The sequence below is a fragment of the Homo sapiens genome, chromosome 7 (genome assembly GCF_000001405.40).
Source record: "Homo sapiens chromosome 7, GRCh38.p14 Primary Assembly".
NCBI classification, from domain to species: Eukaryota; Metazoa; Chordata; class Mammalia; order Primates; family Hominidae; genus Homo; species Homo sapiens.
This window is the reverse complement of record NC_000007.14, coordinates 73,328,103-73,352,968: the sequence shown is the minus strand read 5'-3', so window position 1 is coordinate 73,352,968 and position 24,866 is coordinate 73,328,103. Positions and strand designations below refer to the sequence as shown.

Genomic DNA, 24,866 nt, shown 5'->3' with positions numbered 1-24,866 from the left:
TTAGTGCAGATTTGCTCGCATTCATGGCCATGATATTCAGCTCACCAAAAAAATGAAGCTGTATGACCTCAGGATGCCAAACATCCTGGAGATGCCCCTCTGTCTGCCTCTTGCTGCCTTTTCTGTTTGGACTGATGCTGACAATGACTGCTGTGGGTGCCCTCACAGTGACGGCAGACCACATCCTTCTCACCTTGTGAATGTCTGAGTGACCTCTGAGCTAGAGAGAACTTTTGCTCATAGCTCTTCACTTATCTATTAGATTTGAAAACCCTTCTCTGGATTCTTGAACCTCTGAGGCTCACCCCAGTTCATCTCAGCTTCACCCTGGGTCGGTGGCTGCTTGGGAGCGTAGGGGAGCATCAAAAGTATGACAGTCAATAACAGCTACAACCAAAGGTCTTGAGAACAGGATCAGCACCTGCAGAATGGGGGTCAGCCAGCAAAGCTGGCGGGGACTCATGCTCTCCCTAGAAGGTACAAGGCACTGGCTTGATGTCAATTCCTTATTGCTTAGGCTCACTTCTTTCACTCACTACCTGTACACTTAATTATCCAGGTTGGTGTTTGGGATTATGTATGCTTGGAGGCAGGGCTTATGCACCTAATGAACGCAAGAAATTAAAAACAGACTAAGCCGATATCTGACGGTCTTCATGAAGCATAAACAACTCCACAGTGATCTTAAAGATGTGACTGCTCCATGGCTGGGCGCGGTGGCTCATGCCTATAATCCCAGCACTCTGGGAGGCCGAGGCAGGAGGATCGCTTGAGGCCAGGAGATCGAGATCAGCCTAGGAAATATAATGAGACCCCATCTTACAAAATAAAAAAAATCAGCAGGGCATGCTGGCACACACTTGTAGTCCCAGCTACTCAAGAAGCTGAGGCAGGAGGACTGCCTGAGCCCAGGAGGCTGCAGTGAGCTATAACTGCACCACTGCACTCTAGCCTGAGTAACATAGGAGACCTTGTTTCTCTTTTAAAATAAAAAAGTGATTCAGCTTCACCCTGCAGACAATGCAACCAAGGCCCAGAGAGGTGAAATGACTTGGCTAATGTCATAGCAAGAGATGAAACTGAGGATCCAAATGTTCTGTCTTTCAACCCCATCATGAATCATAAAGGGCACTTCCATGATTGTGGACGATCAGCAAAAGGAACCCAGTTATCTCCAGGATTGAACTTAGTAGCTGTCATTCGTACCTCATCCGCAAAGAACACAGAATCCACAACAGTAAATCTTAGCAGGAAGCAGGGTTGAGGCCTATTACGGCTGCCAAGAGAGGATGTGGAGAGGGAATGAAGGGCCAAAGCAACCCTTCCAGAGGAAATGCCTTCCCAGGAAGGGGTATGATGAAAAGGCAGCCACCGAAGTTGAGGTATTTATAGCCACACAACAAAGGGATGACTTCAGGGACACCTCCAGAGCTGGGAGAAAAGGCACTTCACAGGTACGTGGAAGATTAAGAGCCCAGGTCACACAGTTTGCCTGGAACAGGGCATGGCCTTCATCTGACAATAAGAGAATGCCTTCCTGGCCCAGATGCCCGGCAGAAGATGCAACGCCATTTAGAGGAGGGGAAAAAAAAAAGTAGAGGCATAGGGAAGGAAAGTCAGAAAAATTAATTACAAAAATTGCCAGGTGCGGTGGCTCACGCCTGTAATCCCAGCACGTTGGGAGGCTGAGGCGGATGAATCACTTGAGGTTAGGAGTTCGAGACCAGCCTGGCCAACATGGTGAAACCCCGTCTCTACCAAAACTACAAAATTTAGCTGGGAGTGGTAGCGCATGTCTGTGGCGAACGTTGCAGTGAGCTGAGATCGCGCCACTGTACTCCAGCCTGGGTGACAGAGCAAGACTCCATCTAAAAAAATTAAGGAAAAAAAAATAATTACAAAAATATATTTAAACAAGTCTTTATTCAGGACTCAGCAGTGTCTCACTGGATGCACGAAGTAACTTTGAGAGACTCACCACTAGATATTTCTTAATCTCTTTGGGAAGAAGGGGATCAAACAGATTCCCTGCCTAGATCCAGTCACATACCGAGAGAGATGATGATCTGCTCCCGGGGTTTCCTGGCAACTGAGCAGGACAGCCGGGTCACAGGAAAGCTATTTTGGAACCAGGGAACCCCTGGCCCCAGAGGCCTCCTGTGGCCTCGGCATTGGCACTGGGCTGAGGGCCCGCTGCTCCGGGGCTCACCTCAGGCCAGCTCTGAGCCAGGACCAAATCCCAGAATCTCGACCAACCAGAGAGTACTCTCCACAACCTTGCCTTTACTTCCACTTGGGCCTCCTGACTTTCCAGAAAACATTGTTTTTAGTCTGTTAAGATCCTCTTTCCCCAAGGCTGGCCAAGTAGCAGGGCTCAATACTCTACAGCCCAAAGGCTTCAGCTTCTCTTCAACGGAAAAAGCAAAGGAGGGGGGAATTTCCTCAACATCTGAGAGAAGGATAAAAGTGCATGGCCGCTTCGGGGTCACGCACCACCTGAATACAGCAGCTGAATATGTTTGAGGCTTCAGGCATCATCTGGGGCTTAACATTTCAAATCCAATGAAAACACTCAGTTGTTTATACACACAGAGGCCTCCTCAGGGAAAGGGTCCTGGTTCTCTAAGCTTTACTCCTTCCCCAATCTGAGGCAGAAACAATCATTCTTCCTCACAAGAATGTCAGGAAAGTTAAGTGGGTTTACAGACATGATAAAGCACTAAAGACAGGGGATGACACTTCCACTCTGGGCCCACATGACGATGGACTGGACTCTTTATTCATGGCTACATGGGATTCTAGTAATATGCCAGTACCTCTTAAGCTGCACATCGTTTTGCTATTAAGGGGTCTGTGGCCGGACAGCAGGGGGTGGACTGTGACATAGTCAGAAATATATATTTGGTCTCTATCCATTTCCTGACACACAGTTCCTAAAACCCCCAGAATCTCTGAAATGATGGGTGTTTCTTTGTATGCTAATGACATGACTGGTGGCTGGGGATTCTCGGACAGCCTCAGAATGGGGGCTGGTTGCCAGGGAACCAACCATGGGACAAGGGAAGGGCCGAAGCAACCTTCAACTGGCAATCACCAATGGCCAACCATTCAACCAATTGTGCCAGAAAGAACAGGGTTTGGAGAGCTTCCAGGCTGCTGAACACGTGTGGGTGCTGGCGCATCCCTTCCCTCACACCATGCCCTGTGCGCCACCCCATGTGGCTCTTCATCTTTTTTTTTTTTTTTTTTTTTTTTTGAGACGGAGTCTTGCTCTGTTGCCAGGCTGGAGTGCAGTGGTGCAATCTGACCTCACTGCAACTTCTGCCTCCTGGGTTCAAGAGATTCTCCTGCCTCAGCCTCCCAAGTAGCTGGGACTACAGATGTGCGCCACCACGCCTGTATTTTTTTTTTTTTTTTTTTTTGTATTTTAGTAGAGACGGGGTTTCACCATGTTGGCCAGGATGGTCTCGATCTTCTGACCTCGTGATCCGCCTGCCTCGGCCTCCCAAAGTGCTGGGATTACAGGCGTGAGCCACTGCACCTGGCCTTTTTATTTATTTTTTGAGATGGAGTTTCGTTCTTGTTGCCCAGGCTGGAGCGCAGTGGTGTGCAGCTTACCGCAACCTCCACCTCCTGGGTTCAAGCGATTCTCCTACCTCAGCCTCCCAAGTAGCTGGGATTACAGGCATGTGCCACCACGCCTGGCTAATTTTGCATTTTTAGTAGAGACGGGGTTTCTCCACATTGGTCAGGCTGGTCTCGAACTCCTGACCTCAGGTGATCTACCTGCCTCAGCCTCCCAAAGTGCTGGGATTACAGGCGTGAGCCACCCTACCTGGCCACCCTTTTTAAATTTTTTTTTTTGGGACAGGGTCTCACTCTGTCACCCAGACTGGAGTGCAGTGGCGTGATCTGGGTTCACTGCAGCCTTGACTTTTCAGGCTCCAGCAATCCTCCTGCCTTAGCCTCCCAAGTAGCTGGGACCACGGGCACACACCACCACATCCAGGTAATTTTGGCATTTTTGGTAGAGAAGGAGTTTCACCATGTTGCCCAGGCTGGTCTTTAACTCCTGACCTCAAGCGATCTGCCCACCTTGGCCTCCCGAAATGCTGGGATTACAGGCCTCAGCCACCATGTCTGGCCCATTTGTATCCTTTTAAAAACCTCTGTAATAAACTAGTGACTATAAGTAGGTGTTTCTGAGTTCTGAGCACCATTCCAGATGACTCAACCCAAAGGAACAGGTATGGGAACCTCTGATGTATAACCAGTTAGTAAGAAGCACAGGGACAACCTGGAATTGTCACTGGAGTCTGAAATGGGGTCAGTCTTGTGGAAATGAGCCCTTAACCTGTGGAGTATGCACTAAGTCCAGGTCAAGTGTCAGAGCTGTAATGTAGGACACTGAGCTGCTTTCAGAATTGGTTGGTGTGGGGAAAATCCCTACATGTCTGGTGTCAGAAGTGAAATGTTCTGGAAGTCCTGAGTGTTGCGAAGGAGAGTATAGAAGGAAATAGGCTTCCCTGCTATACAGGGAGGATGTGGACGGAAGCCTAGAAGGAAACCTTGGCTTTACCTTGGTAATTGTTAAAGCCAGACGTTGAGCACATCGGGGAATCTTAGTATTATTCGTTATGTAACTTTGAGATTTTTCAAAGAAGGGGGGGAAAGGTGTGGCATTATGAAAAAGACAAATCTGAGAAGAGCTCTTAGATTCAAATATTTGATTGATGAAATGAAGATGGAAGAGTTGGAAAATTAAGAACATTTCACAAGGGAGAAAAAAAAGATTTTAAGGAGACAGAATAGAAGGAGGTCCAACTTCCAGTCAATAGGTGTCCCATAACAAGATGACAGGGAATAACGAGGAAGACGTGATTTAAGAAATAGTATAGAGGAATTTCTCGGCTCTTAAAAGCTTAAGCCTCTAGAAGTAAGGGACCTATCTAAAGGACTTGAGCAACAGGGAGTACCTGGACATGCTACTGTGTAATTTTAGATGAATCAAGAATAAACAGATATGGCTGGGTGCTGTGCTCACGCTCATAATTTCAGCACTCTGGAAGGCCAAGGAGGGAGGATCACTTGAGCCCAGGAGTTCCAGACCAGCCTGGGCAACATGGTGAGACCCTGTCGCAACAAAAAATAAAAAAATTAGCTGGACGTGGTGGCACATGCCTGTGGTCCCAGCTGCTCAGGAGGCTGGGGAGGGAGAATTGCTAGAGCCTGGGAAGTTGAGGCTGCAGTGAGCTATGATCATGCCACTGCACCCCAGCCTGGGTGACAGAGCGAGACTCTGTCTCTAAAAACAAAGTGGAGCACAAGAAATACTGTCTTTAGCTGTATGAAGCCAAGAACATCAGTATTGAATTATTTTTGTTATAATAATCTAACAGAGGATCTACAAGTAGTAATGTAAGAGAAGAAAGAGTTATATTATAGCAGGAAGTCAACAGATAAATATCCAAAACATAAATCAAGAAGTGGTAATAGAAACATAGTATTGAGCCCTGTGGAAGACTCTCCAGAAGAAACTGAAATTCAGTTCGGGTTCCCTGTGTATATGCAGCGTTTGACTCTGGCTCTATCACTTAGGAGCTCTGCAACCTTGGCAATTACATAGCTTCTTCACATCTAATTCATCAACTGTAAAATGGGGATCATATCTACATTATGCAGATCTTACATTAAAAATATTAACACATGTGAAACATGTAGAAGAATACCTGGCATTTAAAATATGAATAAAAATTTTGACCAAAATTAATAAAAATACACTAAGAAAACAGTATAAATGCTAGGCAATACTAGCAAAACAACCTAGAAGAAAAATGTTATGATAAACCAAGAGCAAAAGAATGAAAGCCACGCGTAGGTAAGCTGACCGTGTGGGTGGTCACCTCGCCCTGCACCCCTGGTCCTGCCAGGTAACCCAAGACTCCCTCAAGTTCTGGCCGCCCCTCATGGAGTTTTCCCAGTCACTCCTGGTACATGGGGACCAGCCCTGGACTCCTGGTTCTGGCCTCTGCCCACCCACCTCTGTTAGCAGATGGCTGACATGTCACTAAAGCTGCCCTCCTCCACAATCAGTAACTTCGGTTAGGGCATCTTCAGCCCCTCAGGCACTATGGTCATGCTCCCTCAGGTAAGGTCTGGTTTGTCAGGAGAACTCTTCACAGAGAATACCCTCCTGTCAGTTCCAGATGGGAGGCCGCATACTCCTGCCACCCTTCCGCTCTTGCCAGTAGGTTCACGTCCAGGCTGCCATCACCTCTTACTCAGACACCTGCCACCTGATGGTCCTGCCACTTTAAATGTGTCCCCACGCTGCCCCTTTAGCCCCTCAGAGCAGCTCAGCTCTGGCCAGGTCTTCTCCTCCTCTATAATGCCCTATAGAATGCCACCCACATTCCAAGGAGGCCCCAAATGAAAGGACAATATCAGGACCTCTCACAACTCCCTCCTGGGGCCCCTTGGGCCCATGCCCCAGGCCTAGCTCAGCAAAGCCTCTTTCTGATCAGGGGTGCTCCCTCACAGCCCACTCTTGAACACTGTGATTTAATGGACTTATCTTGTTGTCCCTGTTTAGACCCCCAATCCCTGCAGGTCAGGGCTGCAGAAGTGGTACTGGAACTCTCTCTATATGCCACATAGCATCTAGAGTGCCCACCAACAGTCGGCTCCCCACAGGGATGGCAGGAGACAGTGTGAAGGCGGGCCACGCGGGGCAGGGCAGGCATGGCTTTCCCCCATTCGGAACACTTTCCTCTGGCAGCCATTCCTTGCATTTGGTATGTTTGGGAACAGCAGGCAACAAAATCTGTCTGCTCTTGAACGAGGCCCCTCCTGCTACTTCCTTTCCTCGGGTGGTGTTTTTTGATGCTAAGTATAGGATGTCATATTTCATCTCTGCTGTGTGCCTTGGGGATGGGAGCTGCTACCTCTGCCTTGAAGGTCTGCAATTACCTGATGGTAAAAACGACCAGGAAGGTGATCTAATTTCTCCCTTTAACCACCTCTCAGGCCCTCCAGCTCTGCTCGGATAGACCCTAACAGGGACTGCACCAGCTCCCGAGATGCCCCACAGCCCCGTGGAACAAAGTGGAGTGGCCCGGGAACAGATGTTTCCCCAAAAGCAGTCAAAAGTGGCCCCTTCCACTGTGTACTCCATGGTGGGAGAACTCATGGCAGGACATTTGACTGGTAAATCTCCTATCAGGTCAGATTCTGTCTTCCTATTGTGTCAGCTTACTGGTGCTGACCTTTGGAAACCACAGAACAAATTTCACCTGTTGTATGTTAACCATTTAAATGCCTGAAAATAGCTATAGAGCTCCCTTCACAGCTCCTTTCCAGACACAGTAAAATGATCACAAGGGCCTCAGATACCAGCATGTCAGGATAGGAAGGACAAAACACAAACTCCCATTCATGGGGTTCTACATACCCCCAACCAGGCCGGAGTCCTGCCCAGGATCTTTCAAACTGAAGAGTTATGTTTGGGGCAGGAAGAGGAGGGACTTTTAGGGTACAGAACTCTCACTCCATTAGGGAGGAGGTTGCAGAAAGGGATGTATGGGCACTCCCTACAGGGGGAGAAAACAAAGCCGAGGGGAGACTGAGTCCCTAAGGCCCTCAGAGCTGCCTGGTCACTGTCTGCCCAAGGACTGCCAAACTCCTCCTCAACTCTGTGAGCCACTCCCAGGACCCCTTCTGCAAATCTTTTTTTTTTTTTTTTTTTTTCTGGCTGATGCTAAAGATAGGTTTCTGTCCCTGGCAATACCAAGGGTCCAACAGCCAATCCCAGAGCCAGCCTGGAGGATGTTTTATTAGAGGCTGGTCTGTTGCTTCGGCTATTTCACACTTAGTCCAACCAACATTTCCTGAGCACCAATCGTGCACCTGGCATGGCTCCAGAAGCTAGAAAATGCAAAGATGGAAAAGGCATACTGTCTACTATAGTCAGAGGCTTAGAGCACATAACTAATACTTAAGAGAACACTCATTCCTCCAGAAGTAATCTTACAAGTCAGTGGTATCTAACATCTAAGATGAAAAGAACAAAAGTTAAAATTGTCCTAAGCCAGGTGCAGTGGCTCAGGCCTGTAATCCCAGCACTTTGGGAGGCCAAGGCGGGAGGACCACCTGAGGTCAGGAGTTTGAGACCAGCCTGACCAATATGGTGAAACCCTGTCTCTACTAAAAATACAAAAATTAGCCAGGCGTGGTGGCTCACACCTGCAGTCCCAGCTACTCGGGAGGCTGAGGCAGGAGGATCACTTGAATCTGGGAGGCAGAGGCTGCAGTGAGCCAAGATTGTGCCATTGCACTCCAGCCTGGGTGACAGAGGGAGACCCTTAAAAAAAAAAAAATTGTCCTGGTTAGTGACAACTAGGTTGTCAAGATGACTGGATTTTTAGCTTCTTTTAAATGACTAGGCCTCAAATACTACAGAAAAAAAGGGGAGCAGGGAGAGCAAAGACACAAAAGCTAAAACTTATCACAACTGTGACAGCAGTGGCAATATGACAGTGGTGGCTACTTTAGAACACAAATACAGTCATTGCTGATGGTAAGATAAATGCTGGAGTTGGAAATCTGGGGGAAAGCATCTGAAGATCAGCAGCCTCCAGTCCTACAGACTGAAAAGGCTGGGAAGCAAACATGATGGCGAGGAAAACTGCTGCCCAGCTGGGCTGCCCAAGCCCTTGTCTGGGATGGACCCTGGCAGACCTGGGTCTTCATTCATGACAGGACTTGTGGGGTCACAGTCCAAAATGTTTGGCAAACAGTCACTGCCCTTCATTTTTACTGGATACTAGAAGTGACCAAACAAGGGAAGTCCTCTGGCTCACATCTCAGTTCTGAAGACCTGCAAATATGTACTCCAAAGGCCACTGAAAGACCTGAAGGCCAGGGTTCACATGGCCAGCATCAGTGACGAAGGCAACATTTACCTGTGATGCTGGTGGGCGCATCTGAAAGTGCAGATAGCAGCAGTTTATGGACCGCTATGAAAATGTCGGGGATGAATAGGCCTTTTCACTGCCTCCTCCTCTCAAGCCCCTTTTGTAGGGAGATGGAGGAAGCAACAAAGGAGAGATTTATCACCATGAGCCCGTTCAGCAGCTGTTTTCTTGTTGTTCCTTGTTTGACTTCTCCGAGAGAGCAGAGTTATCTGTGCAGCTAAGCAGGTGTTTCAGGCAGGTGATTTTGTTTCCATTAATTTTATTAAATAGTAGACCAGACTGGAGGGTTCAGACTGGAGGGTTATCTCATGTGCTTGGGAACTCCCGCCCTGTGCCTGCAAAATTACTAGGTGTGATCTTGGGAGGAATGCTATATTCCGCTCCCTGTTGCTTTCAGCATCTTCAAATCTCTAAGTCTAATAGAAAGTAGAATTTAAGAGCCACAGCCCATCCCCACCCTGCGATCTTGTCTGCTTTAGTAATGTGTTAGAGACACAGTCAAGTTGGAGGCTTTCGAGTTCTCAGGAGAAAGAAGATGAACAGAAGCTTGACACGTCAAAGCCCAGCTCTATCAACCATCACATTCATGACTCTACTCAGTCTCATGTTCCAAGCAACTGCAAGGAGAGTTTCACATAAAACATGAAAAAAAAAGGTTTTTTAAAAAATAAATTTAGGCTGAGCGCCACGGCTCACAGCTGTAATCTCGGCTACTCAGGAGGCTGAGGCAGAAGAATCGCTTGAACCTGGGAGGCGGAGCTTGCAGTGAGCTGAGATCGCACCACTGCACTCCAGCCTGGGCAACAGAGTGAGACTCTGCCTCAAACAAACAAACAAACAAATAAATAAATAAATAGCTCAAGGCCCCCTGAACCTATACATTTAACCCACAGGTCTGGGCGAACTTTCTTCTCACGGGAAAGGTAGGCGTGCAGCACGTGCATCCTGCACTACCGTTGTGTTGTTCTTTACAGCAAGGAACTTGTCTACCCCTCGTCCACCCTCAGCTGCAGACAGCCACCATTCACTTGGGGGTGGAGGAGAGCAGCACGCTTCTCCATCCGGAAGCCTGTGTGCCACCCTGGCCCTTTGATTACCTTCAACTTTCTCCTGCTGTAGAACCATCGCCACAGGGCGCGAACATGCGGTGCCACATTTCTTTCTCTTTATCCACATAGTCCCTGTAACAGCTGGAGAGGGAAATACACACTTGTTAGAGGAGGTCTGTGTTTGGAGGAGGTGACATCTGGTGGCTGGAATTCTCCACTCACATCCAGAAACACTGAAAATTTATCAGGACTCAAACTGAGTTGGGAGGGATGGAAGTAAGCTGGAGAGGTGGGGAGGCAGGGAAGGCTCCCACAGCTGGCCAAGGAGCCAAGCCCCTGGACAAAACCCCCTAACTGGAAAGGACAGCTGCCTTGAAGGGCAGGTGCCTCTGGCCACCAGGCTCCGGGCTGAGTCTCGCCAAACGACCCCTCACCCTCAGCAGCCTCTAACCTCTCCTGATTTTCTCACTAAAGAATGACCAGATCTGACAGGATACTTTTAAATACCAGAAAGGAAATTGCTGGCAAGTCCTAAAAGGCTTGAAATGTAACCTAAGAGATACTCACATCTCAGACACTAATGCCAAGCAAGCTTTAACTAGCAATCTGGACCGAATGTTTAATATTAAGACAAGTAGAGAATTTCACCATTACAGAAGAAGATATACCTTAAAAACCATGGACCTATTACCAAGTGATGGAGTTATGGGGGACTCCTATTTATAGGTAGACATTTTCAAGGTTTTCTACAATGGACACAAAACTTCTATAATGAGAAAAAATTACATCACTAAAAGACTGGTGTGCTTAGTCACGTGGGTAACAAGGAGGTCAATCCATGGGTATGAGTCAGACCCGAAACGCCTGTTTCTGGTCACATGAGGACCTACGAGGGGCCTTTCTGCACTTGGTTAGGAGCAGTGGTTCTTGGTGGAGCACGCAGGGAAGAGCGCACCAGAAGACTCTTTTTAAGTGACACCGGGGCCAGTTGTGGTGGCTTGTGCCTGTAATCCCAGCACTTTGGAAGGACGAGGTGGGGGGATCACCTGAGGTCAGGAGTTTGAGACCAGCCTGGTCAACACGGTGAAACCCTGTCTCAACTAAAATACAAAAACAATTAGCCAGATGTGGTGGTACACGCCTGTAATCCCAGCTACCTTGGAGGCTGAGACAGGAGAATCGTCTGAACTCGGGACGCGGAGGTTGCAGTGAGCCGAGATCATGCCATTGCCCTATAGCCTAGGTGACAGAGAGGGACTCCATCTCAAAAAAAAAAAAAAAAAGTGACACCCTCCCACCTCTCTAGGGGTTGTTTATTTGCGGTAGGGGAAACAGAAAGGTGGGCGATGATGGAGATGTATAGTCTGGCAGTCTGTCTCACCTGCTTGCTGGGAACTGCTGGTGCAGCGCACGGCCGAGCACTTCAGAAACCCAGCTGTAGAGGGGGCGGCCTCCTAACACTCTGGGCAACACCGCCAGACTGTCCTTTGTTGGGGGGGGTGGGGGGACAGACCAGAGTCACAACCCCACCCATCTCTCTTCATGCTCCTGCAAACACAGCTCACCTAGCCAGTTTCTTCAGCTCATTATTGATGTCATGATTGAAGGGTTGCTCCTTCTGGGCTCGAACTAGAAAATCCCGGGCCTTTTGATACTCAGTCAGGAGAAGACAAGCCTGTCCCAAGGAGAGAACTTTAAAAGCACAGTTAGAAAAGATATCATTTGGCTGGGCACGGTGGCTCATGCCTGTAATCCCAGCACTTTGGGAGGCCAAGGCGGGCGGATCAACTGAGGTCAGGGATTCCAGACCAGCCTGGCCAACACGGCAAAACCCTATCTCTACTAAAACTACAAAAATTAGCTGGGTGTGATGGCGCATGCCTGTAATCCCAGCTACTTGAGAGGCTGAGGCAGGAAAATTGCTTGAAGCCAGGAAGCGGAGGTTGCAGCGAGCCGAATTTGCGCCACTGCACTCCATCCTGGGCAACAAGAGCAAAACTCTGTCTAAAAAAAAAAAAAAAAAAAAAAAAGACAGCATTTTTGCAGTAGCTGAGTTGAGCACTGCTACTACCTTTTCCTGGGTGTTTATTCCCAAGTCACTGGCTTCCAACTCACCTGTCCACACCTGAAGAGGGCCTTGGCATTCTTTTGGTCAATGATCAAAGCCTGCTCTCCATAGCACAGGGCTATGGTGGGTCGGTCTAGCTTCAGGTATGTAAAGGACAGGTTCAGGAGAACAGGAAGCTTGGCGGCCTCCACCAGGTGCTGCTCTTCAGGGGGTGCTGATCGCCGGCGCAGAAGCAATAGGGCCTGTGGAGAGGGAAGGCAGATGGTCAAGAGGAGTAACAGTCTTATGTACAAAACCCTAAAGAATCCACACGCAAAAACTATCAGAGCTAAAAATCGGCTGTTACAGGTTGCAAGACACAAGATCAACATAAGAAGTCAGGTATATTTCTTTTTTCTTCTTTTTTCAGACGGAGTCTTGTTCTGTCGCCAGGCTGGAGTGATCTCAGCTCACTGCAACCTCCGCCTTCTGAGTAGCTGGGACTACAGGTGTGCACCACCATGCCCGGCTAATTTTTTCATATTTTAATATGACCATTTTGGCCAGGATGGTCTCGATCTCCTGACCTCGTGATCCACCTGCCTCAGCCTCCCAAAGTGTTGGGATTACAGGCGTGAGCCACCATGCCCGGCCAAAAGTCAGGTATATTTCTATGCTCTAGCAACGAACTACCCAAAAATGAAATTAAGAAAACAACTCCATTTACAATAGCATCAAAAAGAATACAGTAAGTAGCAATAAACTTAAAACAACTGAAAGACTTGCACACTGAAAACTACAAAATGGTTGTTGAAAGAAATTAAAGATGATTCAAATAAAATGGAAAAATATCTCATGTTCATTAATTGGAAGACAATATTAAGATGGTAATATTTTCCTAACTGGTCAACATATTCATGCAACCCTACCAAAATTTCAACAGCCTTTTTTGTAGACACAGACAAGTTGATTAGATAATTCATATGGTGGCCAGGCACAGTGGCTCATGCCTGTAATCCCAGCACTTTGGGAGGCTGAGGCGGGCAGATCACCTGAGGTCGGGAGTTCGAGACCCGTCTGGCCAACATGGTGAAACCCCATCTCTACTAAAAATACGAAATCAGCTGGGTGTGGTGGCAGGTGCCTGTAATTCCAGCTACATTGGAGGCTGAGGCAGGAGAATCACTTGAACATGGGAGGCGGAGGTTGTGGTGAACCGAGACCACACCACTGCACTCCAGCCTAGGTGACAGTGCAAGACTCCACCTCAAAAAAAAAAAAAAAAAAAGAGTCACATGGAAATTCAAAGGACCCTGAATAGCCAAAATACTCTTGAGAAAGGACAAAGCTGGAGAACTCATATTTCCCATTTCAAAACTTACTAAAAGACAAAAAATAAACAAAAAACACGAAACTTCCTAAAGCTACAGTAATTACGCCAGTGTAGCACCGGCATAAGGACAGACATGTAGATCAATGAAATTGAACACAGAGTCCAGAAATAGATTTATATATCTACAGTCAACTGATTTTCAATAAGGGTGTCCAGACCATTCAATGGGAGAGAACTGTCTTTTCAACAAATAATGCTGGGACGAGAGACTATCAACATGCAAAAGAATGTTTACCTTGCACTAGATGCAAAAATTAACTAAAGTGGAGCATAGCCCTAAAAGTAGGAGTTAAAACTCTAAGACTCTGCGCTGGCTTCGGCAGCACATATACTAAAAATTGGAAAGACAGGGAGAAGATCGCATGGCCCCTGTGCAAAGATGACATGCAAATTCATAAAGCATTTCATATATTTTTTTAAAAAACTATCAGACTTTAGAAGTACAAATAGGTGTAAATTTTTGTGACCCTGGATTAGAAAATGGTTTCTTAGATATAACACCAAAAGCACAAATAAGCAAAGAATTAGACTTCATCAAAATGTAAAACTTTTGTGTTTCAATGGACACTGCAAAGAAAGTGCAGACAGCCCACAGAACAGCATAGAGCATTTGCGCATCCTGTGTTTGTTGAGGGTGTAGTATCCAGAGCACAGCAGCAACATTTACTCCTCAGTACAAAGACAGATGACCCAACTTTCAGATATGCATAGACTCCGAATAGACATTTTTCCAAAGAAGATAGACAAATAGTCATTAAATGCATGAAAATATGTCCAATGTCATCAGTCATCAGGGAAATGCAAATCAAAACCACAGTGAGATACCACTTCACATCCGCTAAGATGCCTAACTTTAAAAATATAAAATAAGTGTTGGTGAAGATGTGGAGAAATTGGAAGCTTCGCACATTACTCGTGGGAATGTAAGATGGTACAGCTGCTGTAGGAAGCAGTTTGGCAGTTCCTCAAAAATTTTGACAGTTCCCACACAATCCAGCAATTGCACTCCTAGGCACATACCCAAGAAAACTGAAAACGTGTTCACACGACAACTTGTACATAAACGCTCACTGCATCAGTCATAATAATCACGAAGTGGAAACAACCCACATGTCCAACTGATGAATGGACAAAAAGCAGCAGAGCCATCCAACGGAAAAGTAGCCTTACAAAAGAACGAGGGTCCGGGTGCGGTGGCTCATGCCTGTAATCCCAGCACTTTGGGAGGCTGAGGTGGGCGGATCATCTGAGGTCAGAAGTTCAAGACCAGCCTGGCCAACATGGTGACACCCTGTCTCTACTAAAAATACAAAAATTAGCCAGGTGTGGTGGCAGGTGCCTGTAATCCCAGCTACTTGGGAGGCTGAGGCAGGAGAATCGCTTGAACCTGGGAGGCAGAGGTTGCAGTGAGCCGAGATCGTGCCACTGCACTCCAGCCTGGGCAACAGGGACTCTGTCTCATAAAAAACAAAAAACAAAAAAAGAATGAGGTTTGTACAAGCTACAACATGGATAAACCTCAAAAACATGCTAAGTGAAATAAGACAGCCACAAAATGACACATATTTGACAATTCTAGTTACAAAATATGTCCTGAATAGGCAAATCCATAGAAACAAAGGAGAACAGAGGCTATCTGAGGCCAAAGAATTGTGAGTTTCATTTCGGGGTGAGGAAAATGTTCTGGAATTAGATAGTGGCAATGGCTGCACAACTTTGTGAATATACTAAAAACCACTGAATTGGACACTTTAAAAGCACACATTTTATGGTATGTGAATCATATCTCAACAACAAGAAAAAAAATAGTAAAACAAAAAAAAATGGATGAAGGCAGAGCCTGCACTCCCTGGAACTCCATTTGGAAGGTGCAAGTAGAATGGAAGAACTGGAAGGCCGGACACGATGGCTCACACCTGGAATCCCAGCACTTTGGGAGACCGAGGCGGGCGGATCACCTGAGGTCAGGAGTTCAAGATCAGCCTGGCCAACATGGAAACCCCACCTCTACTAAAAATACAAAAAATGAGCTGGATGTGGTAGCAGGCGCTTGTAATCTCAGCTACTTGGGAGGCTGAGGCAGGAGAATCCCTTGAACCTGGGAGGCGGAGGTTGTAGTGAGGCCGAGATGGCGCCAGTACACTCCAGCCTGGGTGATAGAGTGAGACTCTGTCTCAAAAAAAAAAAAAAAAAAAAAAGAACATGGAAGAACTGGAGAAAATGTGTCAGGAGATGGCAGCACAGGCAGAAAGTCATGAGCCTTCCTTGGTCCTCCCTTCCATCTCTAAACTCTGGGCATTCACCAGGCAAGTTCCCATCAACTGTCTCCATACCTTCTGAATGGATTCAGCTCCCATTCACATCACCAGCTGGAACCTCACGCCTGAACCCTGCTCTCATACCCAAATGAAATTGTGAAGCAAGTTGTCAGCTGGAAACAGTTTTCTACAGGCCCTGCTTACCTGCTCATTCCCATGAGTAATCAAAATTGAAAGTAACACATTTCTTTCCCAGTTATTCCTTGGTTTAAATTTTTTTCTCAGACCAGGAAGTTTCAAGTCATTCCCTTCTTCTGTTTCCTTGATCTCTTATATATACAACTTCATCATATACAACGTCATCAAGTCTAACCATCCATTTTGTGGAAGTACTTCCAGAGCTTTTTCTTCTATTTGCACAACTCACAGCTGCTTTAACACATTCCTGGACCCTGTTAACAGGTTCAGCCGCAGCACACCCAGCACGGTGCCTAACATGAAACAGAGCCTCATTAAAATGAAGTTTGTCATTTGACATGTCCTGCACACAGTGGTGTGCTGGTACATGTTTAATAGCCAGCTCTCGGGGGAGGTGGACCCCTGTTTGTAGCATTTGCCTATTCCTATGCTGTAAATATTCCTCCCAGAGCTGATTTCAAACTACCAAAGTGACATTAACGAGGGCACAAAACTCCTGAAAATTTTACAATTGAAATTTTGAGTTTTCACGAGCTCCAGCACAACTACTGCCTCTTCCCCGAATATGACTTTTATCAACACACTCTTCCTCAGTGGTTCCCTGCCATCCACTTCATCAAGTCCAAATCCATCCACACATATTTGAATGTCTTCCTGAATCTGGCCGCCTCCTATCACCTATGATTCCTTAGATGTAACCTATGTTTCTGACTAGGAATCTACCAACTGTGGCCTGAATAGGTTCTGATCACTTTGTTCATCTTTTTTCCTGCCGAGAATTTATGGTGGAAAGGACAAGACAGCTCTCAGGGACCTCTTTTATAAGGCCACTAACTCCATGTAAGAGGGTTTCATCTTCATGACCTCATCATCTCCCAGAGGCCTCACCTCTTAATATCACATGGATGATTAGGTTTCAACATACACATTTTGGGGAGACACAAACATTCAGACCATAGGTATTGGTTAGCTGTTGGAGCTGCATTTAACTCCCTAACTAGATTCAAATCCCTTGAAAGCAGGAAACCCCATACTTGTGTGACCCAGACAATGCTGAGCAAAAGGTGGAGACACAGTGGTGCTGACAATGTCAGTCCGCTGCTCCAAAGACGGAGAAACTTTCCACTAGGAAAAGACGTGCAAAACCTCTGGCTCAGCAAGGCAGGCTCCACACACATCCCTACTTTCTCCAACCCTAAGGGACTAAGACAGGTAGTACTCCAACACAAGCAAAGGACAGGAAAAGGACCAATAAACCCAAAGGTTCAGGGTGGGTGGCAGTGTGATGACTGATTTGGCAGAGTGGTGCCAATGTAAAAGGGACCGGTCTGCCCCTCAGAGCCTGGAGAGACCTAGGAACTGATGGAACCAGGAATTAGAGCTATCTGGTGGGGCTGAATAAAGGAGGTCAGGTCAAATGTTCCCCACCCCGTCCACTGCCCCTATGTGTCCAGATGGCCTCAGCAATCACGAGGTCTCCTTTCTGGGAAAATGGAACCAAAGAGGCCCTTGACTTGGGGGCAGGCTGGAGCAGACAGCAGGAAGGTGGTATACTGGTAACGCGGCTATGAAAAGGAATCTCAATACCAGACAGTGAGAACCTCTGTCCTGCTGCCCAGCTTGGCTCCCAGAATGCCGGTCCCTTGGCACACACACGGGGCAGAAAGAGGAGGACTCAATGGACCCTGAGGAAACACCTACATACTCTAATGTGTGCAGGCTGTCTTTGACCACACTGCAACCTGCCCCACCAAGCACCTGGAGCTCCCAATCAGCTTTGTGATGTCTCTTTTAAATCTTAGTGGTCAAAGATCACCAGCCATTTGAGGAAACCCTCTGTGAAAGAGGTGGCCTCCTGCCTCCCAGCAGCTGCCCTCCCTTCCTTCACAGTAATAGGACTTTTTTTTTTTTTTTTTTTGGCCAGGAACACGTACAACCAGAATTTAGATATTTGCTAGGCTTCTTTGCAGCTAGGCAAAGCCTGGAGAACAGGTTCTGGAAAACATAATTCAGTAGAAGCATCATATGACAAGGACCTTCCTTAACAGAGCTGTACATGCCTTCAGCCTTTCTTCCCTTCTGCTGCTAGAACTCAGAGACCCTCATCTTGGACTACAAGGCCAGAGTCTCACCCCAGAAATGAGAACTGGGTATCTGAAAATATCTGCAGCAGAGTCACCAACTGGCCCTAGCTTGCATGCCTCTACTCTAGCCTTTTACATGAGTGAGAAATAAACCATCTTTAGGTCATTGACAAACTTAGTGCAAAAGGACACAGTCCCCAATATGTAGAAAAACCAAACAGAAAAAGAATGAGATTAAATTATAATCGACAGTCTAAATATATAAAATAATATACACATGAAACAAGAACAGAATGCTAGGGAGGGGAAGAACAAATAGCCCTTCAATTTTCTAAAATTTATTTTTTGTAGAGATGGGATCTTGCTATGGTGCCCAGACTGATCTTTAACTCCTGGCTTCAAGCAATCCTCCCACCTTGGACTCCTGAAGTGCTGGGATTATAGGTGTGAGTCACTGTGCCTGGCCCCCCAGTTTTAAATGAAAAATTCATCAGAAGAGGTGGCAAAAAGTCAAGGAAAGCTTCCATACATGACACAAACAGGAGAAAAGATGGAAACTAGGTGGGGAGGGGGGAGGGACAGCAGCCAGAAGCTCAGTGCAGGAGGTCTGATAATAGGAGTTCCAGACAAAGAGGGCAGAGGGAACAAGAGTAAATTATCAAAGAAATAACTCAAGAAAGTTTCCCAGAGTGGAGGAAAAGTTTCCTGAATGAAAAGATACACACACGCAGAGGCACATCACCGTAAAATTTAGGAATGCCGGGGAAAAACGATCTTCGTCTCTACAGAAGAAAAAACAGGTCACGTAGAAAGGAATAAAGAACCTAAGTAGTAGTAAGATTTTTTTGTTGTTGTTGTTAGCTTTGAGCTCAGAACTAGCAAGACCTTTTTTTTTGAGATGGAGTTTCACTCTTATTCCCCTGGCTGCAGTGCAATTATGCCATCTTGGCTCACTGCAACCTCCACCTCCCGGGTTCAAGCAATTATCCTGCCTCAGCCTCCCAAGTAGCTGGGACTATGGGCACCCACCAACACGCCCAGCTAATTTTTGTATTTTTAGTAGAGACGGGGTTTCACCATGTTCGCCAGGCTGGTCTTGAACTCCTGACCTCAGGTGATCCACCCGCCTCGGCCTCCCAAAGTGCTGGGATTACAGGCATGAGCCACCGTGCCCAGCCAAAAGACTTTTTAATAACAACTCTAGACAAATATGTATTTAAAAACCAAGAATATTTTAGACATACATCAACATACTCTGTTAAAACAAAGGAGTAAGTTGAGAAAAAAACAGGAAATCCACAAACTAGCATTATAGGGCAGCCCCAGGACAAGAGCTGTGTGGCGGGCCCCAGGGAGATTCTCCCCTGGCCACGCATTGCGGGGTCACCTGGGTGGGAAGGAGGGAGGGGAGAAGAGTCTGGTGCTTGTGTTATGTTAAGAGCTTTCTGGAAGACCCTCCAGAGGTTTCCCTTTATGTCTCCTTGGCTAGACCCTTGTTACAGGGACACCCTAAGCTCATGGGAAGCTGGGAAGATGTAGTTTTTTAATTAGTACACTGATGCTTTGAGTGAAATGGGAGGTTCTGTTAGGAGAAGGGGGAATAGATATTGGGTGACAGGGTCGGCAACATTTGGCCTATATGAGTATGTTCCAGAGACAGCACACGCATGTGTGGTGTTTTGTTTTTTTTTTTTTTGGAGACAGAATCTTGCCCTGTTGCCCAGGCTGGAGTGCAGTGGTGCGATCTTGGCTCATTGCAACCTCCGCCTCCTGGGTTCAAGTGATTCTCCTGCTTCAGCCTCCCAAGTAGCTGGGATTACAGGCACCCACCACCATGCCAGCAAATTTTTGTATTTTTAGTAGAGACGGGGTTTCGCCACGTTGCCCAGGCTGGTCTCAAACTCCTGACCTCAAGCTATCCACTCGCCTCAGCCTCCCAAAGTGCTGGGATTACAGGCATGAGCCACTGCGTCCAGCCATGTTTGTTGAATGAATAAAATTAAAAAGGAAACAGAAAACAGCTCAGCATAACCTACACAAGAAGCAAAATCACAACAGGAGGCTTGATGAGGCTGCAATTGCCTCAGGCTAGAATCGCCAAATGAGCCTCCACTGTCAGAGACATGAAATGATGATGGCAAAGGGGTGGAGAAATCGGTTGGTGGAGGACCTAATAAGCACTGGGATGAGAATTTTTAAAAGTTAATAAACTGAATTGTTTTAGAGCAGTGAGATGGAAATTCTAAACACTTCTAGTTCAAGTACATATACAGAGGCAAATGTTTTTCACAACCTGAACACACCCATGTACCCAAGAACCACGTCAAAACACAGAACATTCCCAGGTGCCTCCCAATCCCGTGAGTCCTCTCTCCAGCCCTTATCCCCTCGAGAGTCCCCTCTTCAGCCCTTATCCCCCCGTTAGTCCCCTCTCCAGTACTTATCCCTTTGGCATGAGGATTTTTTTTTTTTTTGAGATGGGAGTTTTTTTGCCTTTCTTGCCCAGGCTGGAATGCAACGGCACAATCTCGGCTCACTGCAACCTCAACCTCCACCTCCTGGGTTCAAGTGATTCTCTTGCCTCAGCCTCCCAAGTAGCTGGGATTACAGGCACCCACCACCACGCCCGGCTAATTTTGTATTTTTAGTAGAGACGGGGTTTCACCATGTTGGCCAGGCTGGTCTCAAACTCCTGACCTCAGGTGATCCACCTGCCTTGGCCTGGCATGAGGATTTTTTTAAATGAGATTTTTCTTAATGGCTGCTCATAGAAAGTAGGGAGAAAGACAAAAATCTGTGTTTTTTGCCGGGCGCGGTAGCTCACACCTGTAATCCCAGCACTTTGGGAGGCCGAGGTGGGCAGATCACGAGGTCAGGACATTGAGACCATCCTGGCTAACACGGTGAAACTCTGTCTCTACTAAAAATACAAAAAAATTAGCCAGGTGAAGTGGCGGGTGCCTGTAGTCCCAGCTACTTGGAAGGCTGAGGCAGGAGAATGGCGTGAACCCAGGAGGCGGAGCTTGCAGTGAGCTGAGATTGCGCCACTGCACTCCAGCCTGGGCGACAGAGCGACACTCTTGTCTCAAAAACAAAACAAAACAAAAATCACAACAAAACAAAATCTGTGTTTTTTAAACAAGGAAGTTTTCAGGATCTAAACTTACACTTAACTTTCAAAGCATTCTCACCCTTTTATATCTCACTTTGGCATCATAGAAACGATTCTGGCGGAAAAGGTAGTTGCCAAACTCCCGTTCCGTAGCTGCCACTTTCAGGACCTTCTGAAGTGGAAATTGGTCTTGCTGCTCCTGAGGACCAGAGACAGGAATATTCAGCAAGGAAACCAAAAGCAGTAATGCCACAATGGAAGTGTTAGTACACGTGAGCCCAGGAGTTCGAGACCAGCCTGGGCAACATAGTGAGAACATGTCTCCATTTAAAAAAATAGTAATTGAAAGAAAGGAAGTGTTACTACAGCTGTGAGCTCTTCTTTTTCAGATCATGCACTTCTGTTTACAGCCTTCTGTGTTGGAGTCACCTCTGAATCTGACAGAAGCCACACCAGTGTTATAACCTGTCCCATTTTACACCCTAGAGCCAGAAGGAAGTCTACGTCTTCAGTCTTCCCCTGATGTTCTCTGAGGAAGCAGTGTCCCATGGAATCAAAAACTGACGGAACTTGCCAAGCACAGAAGTCAGTGCTCAAAACCACTATTTGGCCACCAAGCACTGAACAGGTCTTGGTTTGCTCAGGGCCCTGGCAGTCTTTATGGTCATGATGCTCTGCCCTGGCCATCTTCAGAGTCACCCATAGAGCCTCTCTGGTCCCGGCCCCACCCCCCAGATCCTAAATGAGTTCACCACAGGTGGGACGAGGCATTTGCAAGAAACTCGAATCTCAGAATGATGAAAAAGGGTGAGCTCCCTCACTTGGAGTGCTGACAGTTTAGCTGGGGAGACTCCATGTGAAGATATAAACCCTGGCATGGACCTCTAAGGCCACAGATGGAGTCAGTGTGAGACAGCATGATAAAGACAGTGCCTGTGACTGCTGACGGGGTCAGAAGCCCTGCATCTACGGGACAGGGTTAAGTGAAAGGCTACAAAGAGGAGGCAAGACTTAAGTGGTGAGGACAGTGGCCATACATCCCAGTTTGCCTGGGACTGTCTCAGTTTAAACCCGATGTCATGGGTAACCCCTCCAGTGAACAGCCCCTTTTACTCTCACCTGTGCTGGGCTGGACAATCAATTATTCAGTCACCCTAGTTATGAGCTACCAATGCCTGCCTTGCTGGAAACCAAACGATGAAAAGCAAGTGTTCACTGTCTCACAGGGAGAACTAGGCAAAGGATGACTGAAAAATCAGTTCAAACCACTAATCCTTAAACTCACAGCCTTACCTTGCCCAGCACATTTATCTACACATGAGAGCCATTACTAAGACAAACACAGACTAGGAAGCAGAGGAACTCCGCCGCCACCGCACAGGAGCCGCGGGGGTACCCTGGAGAGGACGATCAGCCTCAGGGCAGGCCATCTAGAAGAATTACCAATAACACCAACCCATTCGTCTCTCTATAAAGTGCTGACATCTGTGCTCTGGAACTTACAGCTGAGAGAGCACAAAACTTGTCTGACTCAGCACAGTCCAGGAAGTCAAGCAGCTCAATCTCAAACAGGACAGTGGTGTTTGGGGGGATCAAGGGAGGGCAGCCCAGCGTTCCATAGGCGTAGTTCGGTTTGAACAGAAACCTGGCCAGCTCTCCTCTCCGCATGCTCAGAAGGCCCAGCTCCATGCCCCACAGTGTAATATCTGTAAGAATGGACAAAGAAGGTGGGTGAAGCTTGCTCAGTATCCTGCTCAGTGCTATCAGTTTCTTCCCCCTCTAAGTCAGCAGTACTCTGGCCTCCATGTCTCCCTCACACAGTTCCCTCTTCCTGCAATGTCTTCCTCCTGAGCCTGTGCCCAGCTTCTACTGATATAAATTTTATTCAAACTTCCAGGCTCAGTTCAAATGCCCCCACTTCCAGGAAGCCTTCCCTGAACCTCCCAGCTAGAATTAATCATGCCTTCATTAAGCACACCCACAACACTGCTTTCACCTCCCAGGCACTCATCCGATTCTACCAAGTGAGCTGAGTGCAGGTCAGTCTCCTCCACTACATTGTGAGGTCCTTAAGGGTGGAGATGTTCTAATCTTCTGAGTACATCCTCTCTTTTCACCATGTATTGTGGGAAGTAAGTATTCGATTGAGTTTTACTTAATAAATGAACAAAGAAACATTCCCAGTGGTTAGTTAAGTCAGAGTGCAAAGATTATACCTTGCCCGTTAAGCCATCTCCCAAATGCCTAGGTCTCAAGGGGAGAGAACATGGCTGTGTTACCAAAACCCAGCCTCAGCAAAGCCAACTCAAAGAACCTGCGCTCTGAGCAGTCTTCCCAGCCTGAGGCATCGTGCCTCATCTAGCCCCTAAACAATTCCTTCTTCTCCAGCTCCCACTCTGAACCTACCCTCTCCAAGTTTCATTAGCCGAGGAGTTTTCCTAAAGTAATTAGAATCGAAGGGTCTGTCCATGTGTTCCAGGTATCCCGAGTATTTCACTAGGATAGAAGAAAGAATGTAAGGAAAATGGACCAAAAACACCCACGCCACCATAATATCGAGTCTCTCATGATCACACAGAAACAATGTGAACAGATGAGCTTAAGCTGCCCGACACCCCGAGGTACAGGAATAAATCTTCTCTCTGCATTTTGGGTGCCGGCCCTTTGGCTCAGAGGTTCAAGAGCTTTGCGGAAGCATCACACAAAGGGGACATAGGAGTCCCTAGCTTTCGTCTTAAAAAAACTAATTCAGGCCGGAAGCAGCGGCTCATGCTTGTAATCCCAGCTACTGGGGAGGCTGAGGTGGGAGGCTCACTTGGGTCCAGGAGTCTGAGACCAGCCTGGGCAACATAGAGTCCCCCATATCTACAAAAATATTAAAAATTAGCCGGGCATGGTGGATCGCGCCTGTAAATCCCTTATTTGGGAGGCTGAGGCAGGAGAATCACGAGCCCAGGAGGTGGAGGCTGCAGTGAGCTATGATCGCACCACTGCACTCCAGCCTGGGCAACTGAGCAAGACCCCGTTTCAAAAACAAAAAACAAAAATCCACTTCAAACAAAGCATTTCCAACCCCATTAAGTGCTTTTTGAAAATGAGGCCTCTCTCTTCCCAACAGAGTGCGATGACATGGATCCTGAGGACAAACCGCCCCAGGGCGTACCTAGCACCGAAGCATCAGGCGCCACTAGGTCTCCAGCTCCTTCTCGGATGACGTCCTTCAGCACGCCCCGGTCCCCCGAGATGTCCAGCATCCTCTGACTTAACCGCTCGTACAGGGACTGATGGAGAATGAAAGCCAGGCCTCAGAGCCGCAGACCCACCCGGCCACCCCTCAGCGTCTACGCCCCCGAAACGTCTGGGCCCTCACCTGGCCGGGGGCGTCGTCCCCTTCCAGGACTCCCTGGTTTAACGCGCTTCCCCCCATGTCCTAGCTGCCCTCCCTGTGGCGTGAGCCTTCGGCCTGGTGCGCCCCGCTGCCCTCCCTGGCTGTGACTCTGGTGGGGTTCCGAAGGCCCCTTTATGCCCGGCAGACCCCTACCGACGGCGGCATTCCATTCTGGGGCCACGAGGAGGCACTCATCGTTTCGTTCCAACCGCCGCCAACGGCCCTGGCCCTCGCGAGCTCTGGAACTACAGAGGCCACGCGGTGAGGTGCGAGGTATGATCCGTAATGGGAGCGCACGAAACATGATGGGACACGTAACGGGACCACGCAGGGCACGTTGGGTACGTGCAGGGGCGCGAGGTGGC

At 47.6% G+C, this 24,866-nt stretch overlaps 1 protein-coding gene and 1 pseudogene across 7 annotated transcripts in view, besides 1 other annotated feature; one reads left to right on the top strand and one right to left on the bottom strand.

Annotated features, from left to right (window-relative positions):
* The window catches only part of FKBP6 (FKBP prolyl isomerase family member 6 (inactive)), a 30,465-nt gene extending 5,657 nt beyond the window's left edge, over nt 1-24,808 (bottom strand). Inside the window, exons 1-8 of one of the 7 annotated variants that reach the window (NM_003602.5) lie at nt 24,484-24,808; nt 24,277-24,394; nt 23,520-23,609; nt 22,617-22,819; nt 21,193-21,312; nt 12,137-12,331; nt 11,587-11,696; nt 10,070-10,162 (exon numbers count right to left, since the gene is read on the bottom strand). In NM_003602.5, the coding sequence (NP_003593.3) occupies nt 10,072-10,162; nt 11,587-11,696; nt 12,137-12,331; nt 21,193-21,312; nt 22,617-22,819; nt 23,520-23,609; nt 24,277-24,394; nt 24,484-24,540 (984 nt within the window). In that variant the 5' untranslated portion in view covers nt 24,541-24,808 and the 3' untranslated portion in view covers nt 10,070-10,071. Of the gene's footprint in view, nt 1-10,069; nt 10,163-11,586; nt 11,714-12,136; nt 12,332-21,192; nt 21,313-22,616; nt 22,820-23,519; nt 23,610-24,276; nt 24,395-24,483 lie in introns of those variants that run through there. The other 6 variants (XM_047420984.1, NM_001135211.3, XM_047420985.1 and 3 more) reach the window with 6 other exon arrangements.
* Nucleotides 9,910-10,854: an enhancer, noted in NCBI's record as "H3K4me1 hESC enhancer chr7:72756115-72757059 (GRCh37/hg19 assembly coordinates)". NCBI's record gives its function as "activates a minimal SCP1, AML or CMV promoter by ChIP-STARR-seq in primed H9 embryonic stem cells {active_cell/tissue: H9 hESC(primed)}" and the evidence as "EXISTENCE:reporter gene assay evidence [ECO:0000049][PMID:30033119]".
* Nucleotides 13,769-13,875, top strand: RNU6-1080P (RNA, U6 small nuclear 1080, pseudogene; annotated as a pseudogene).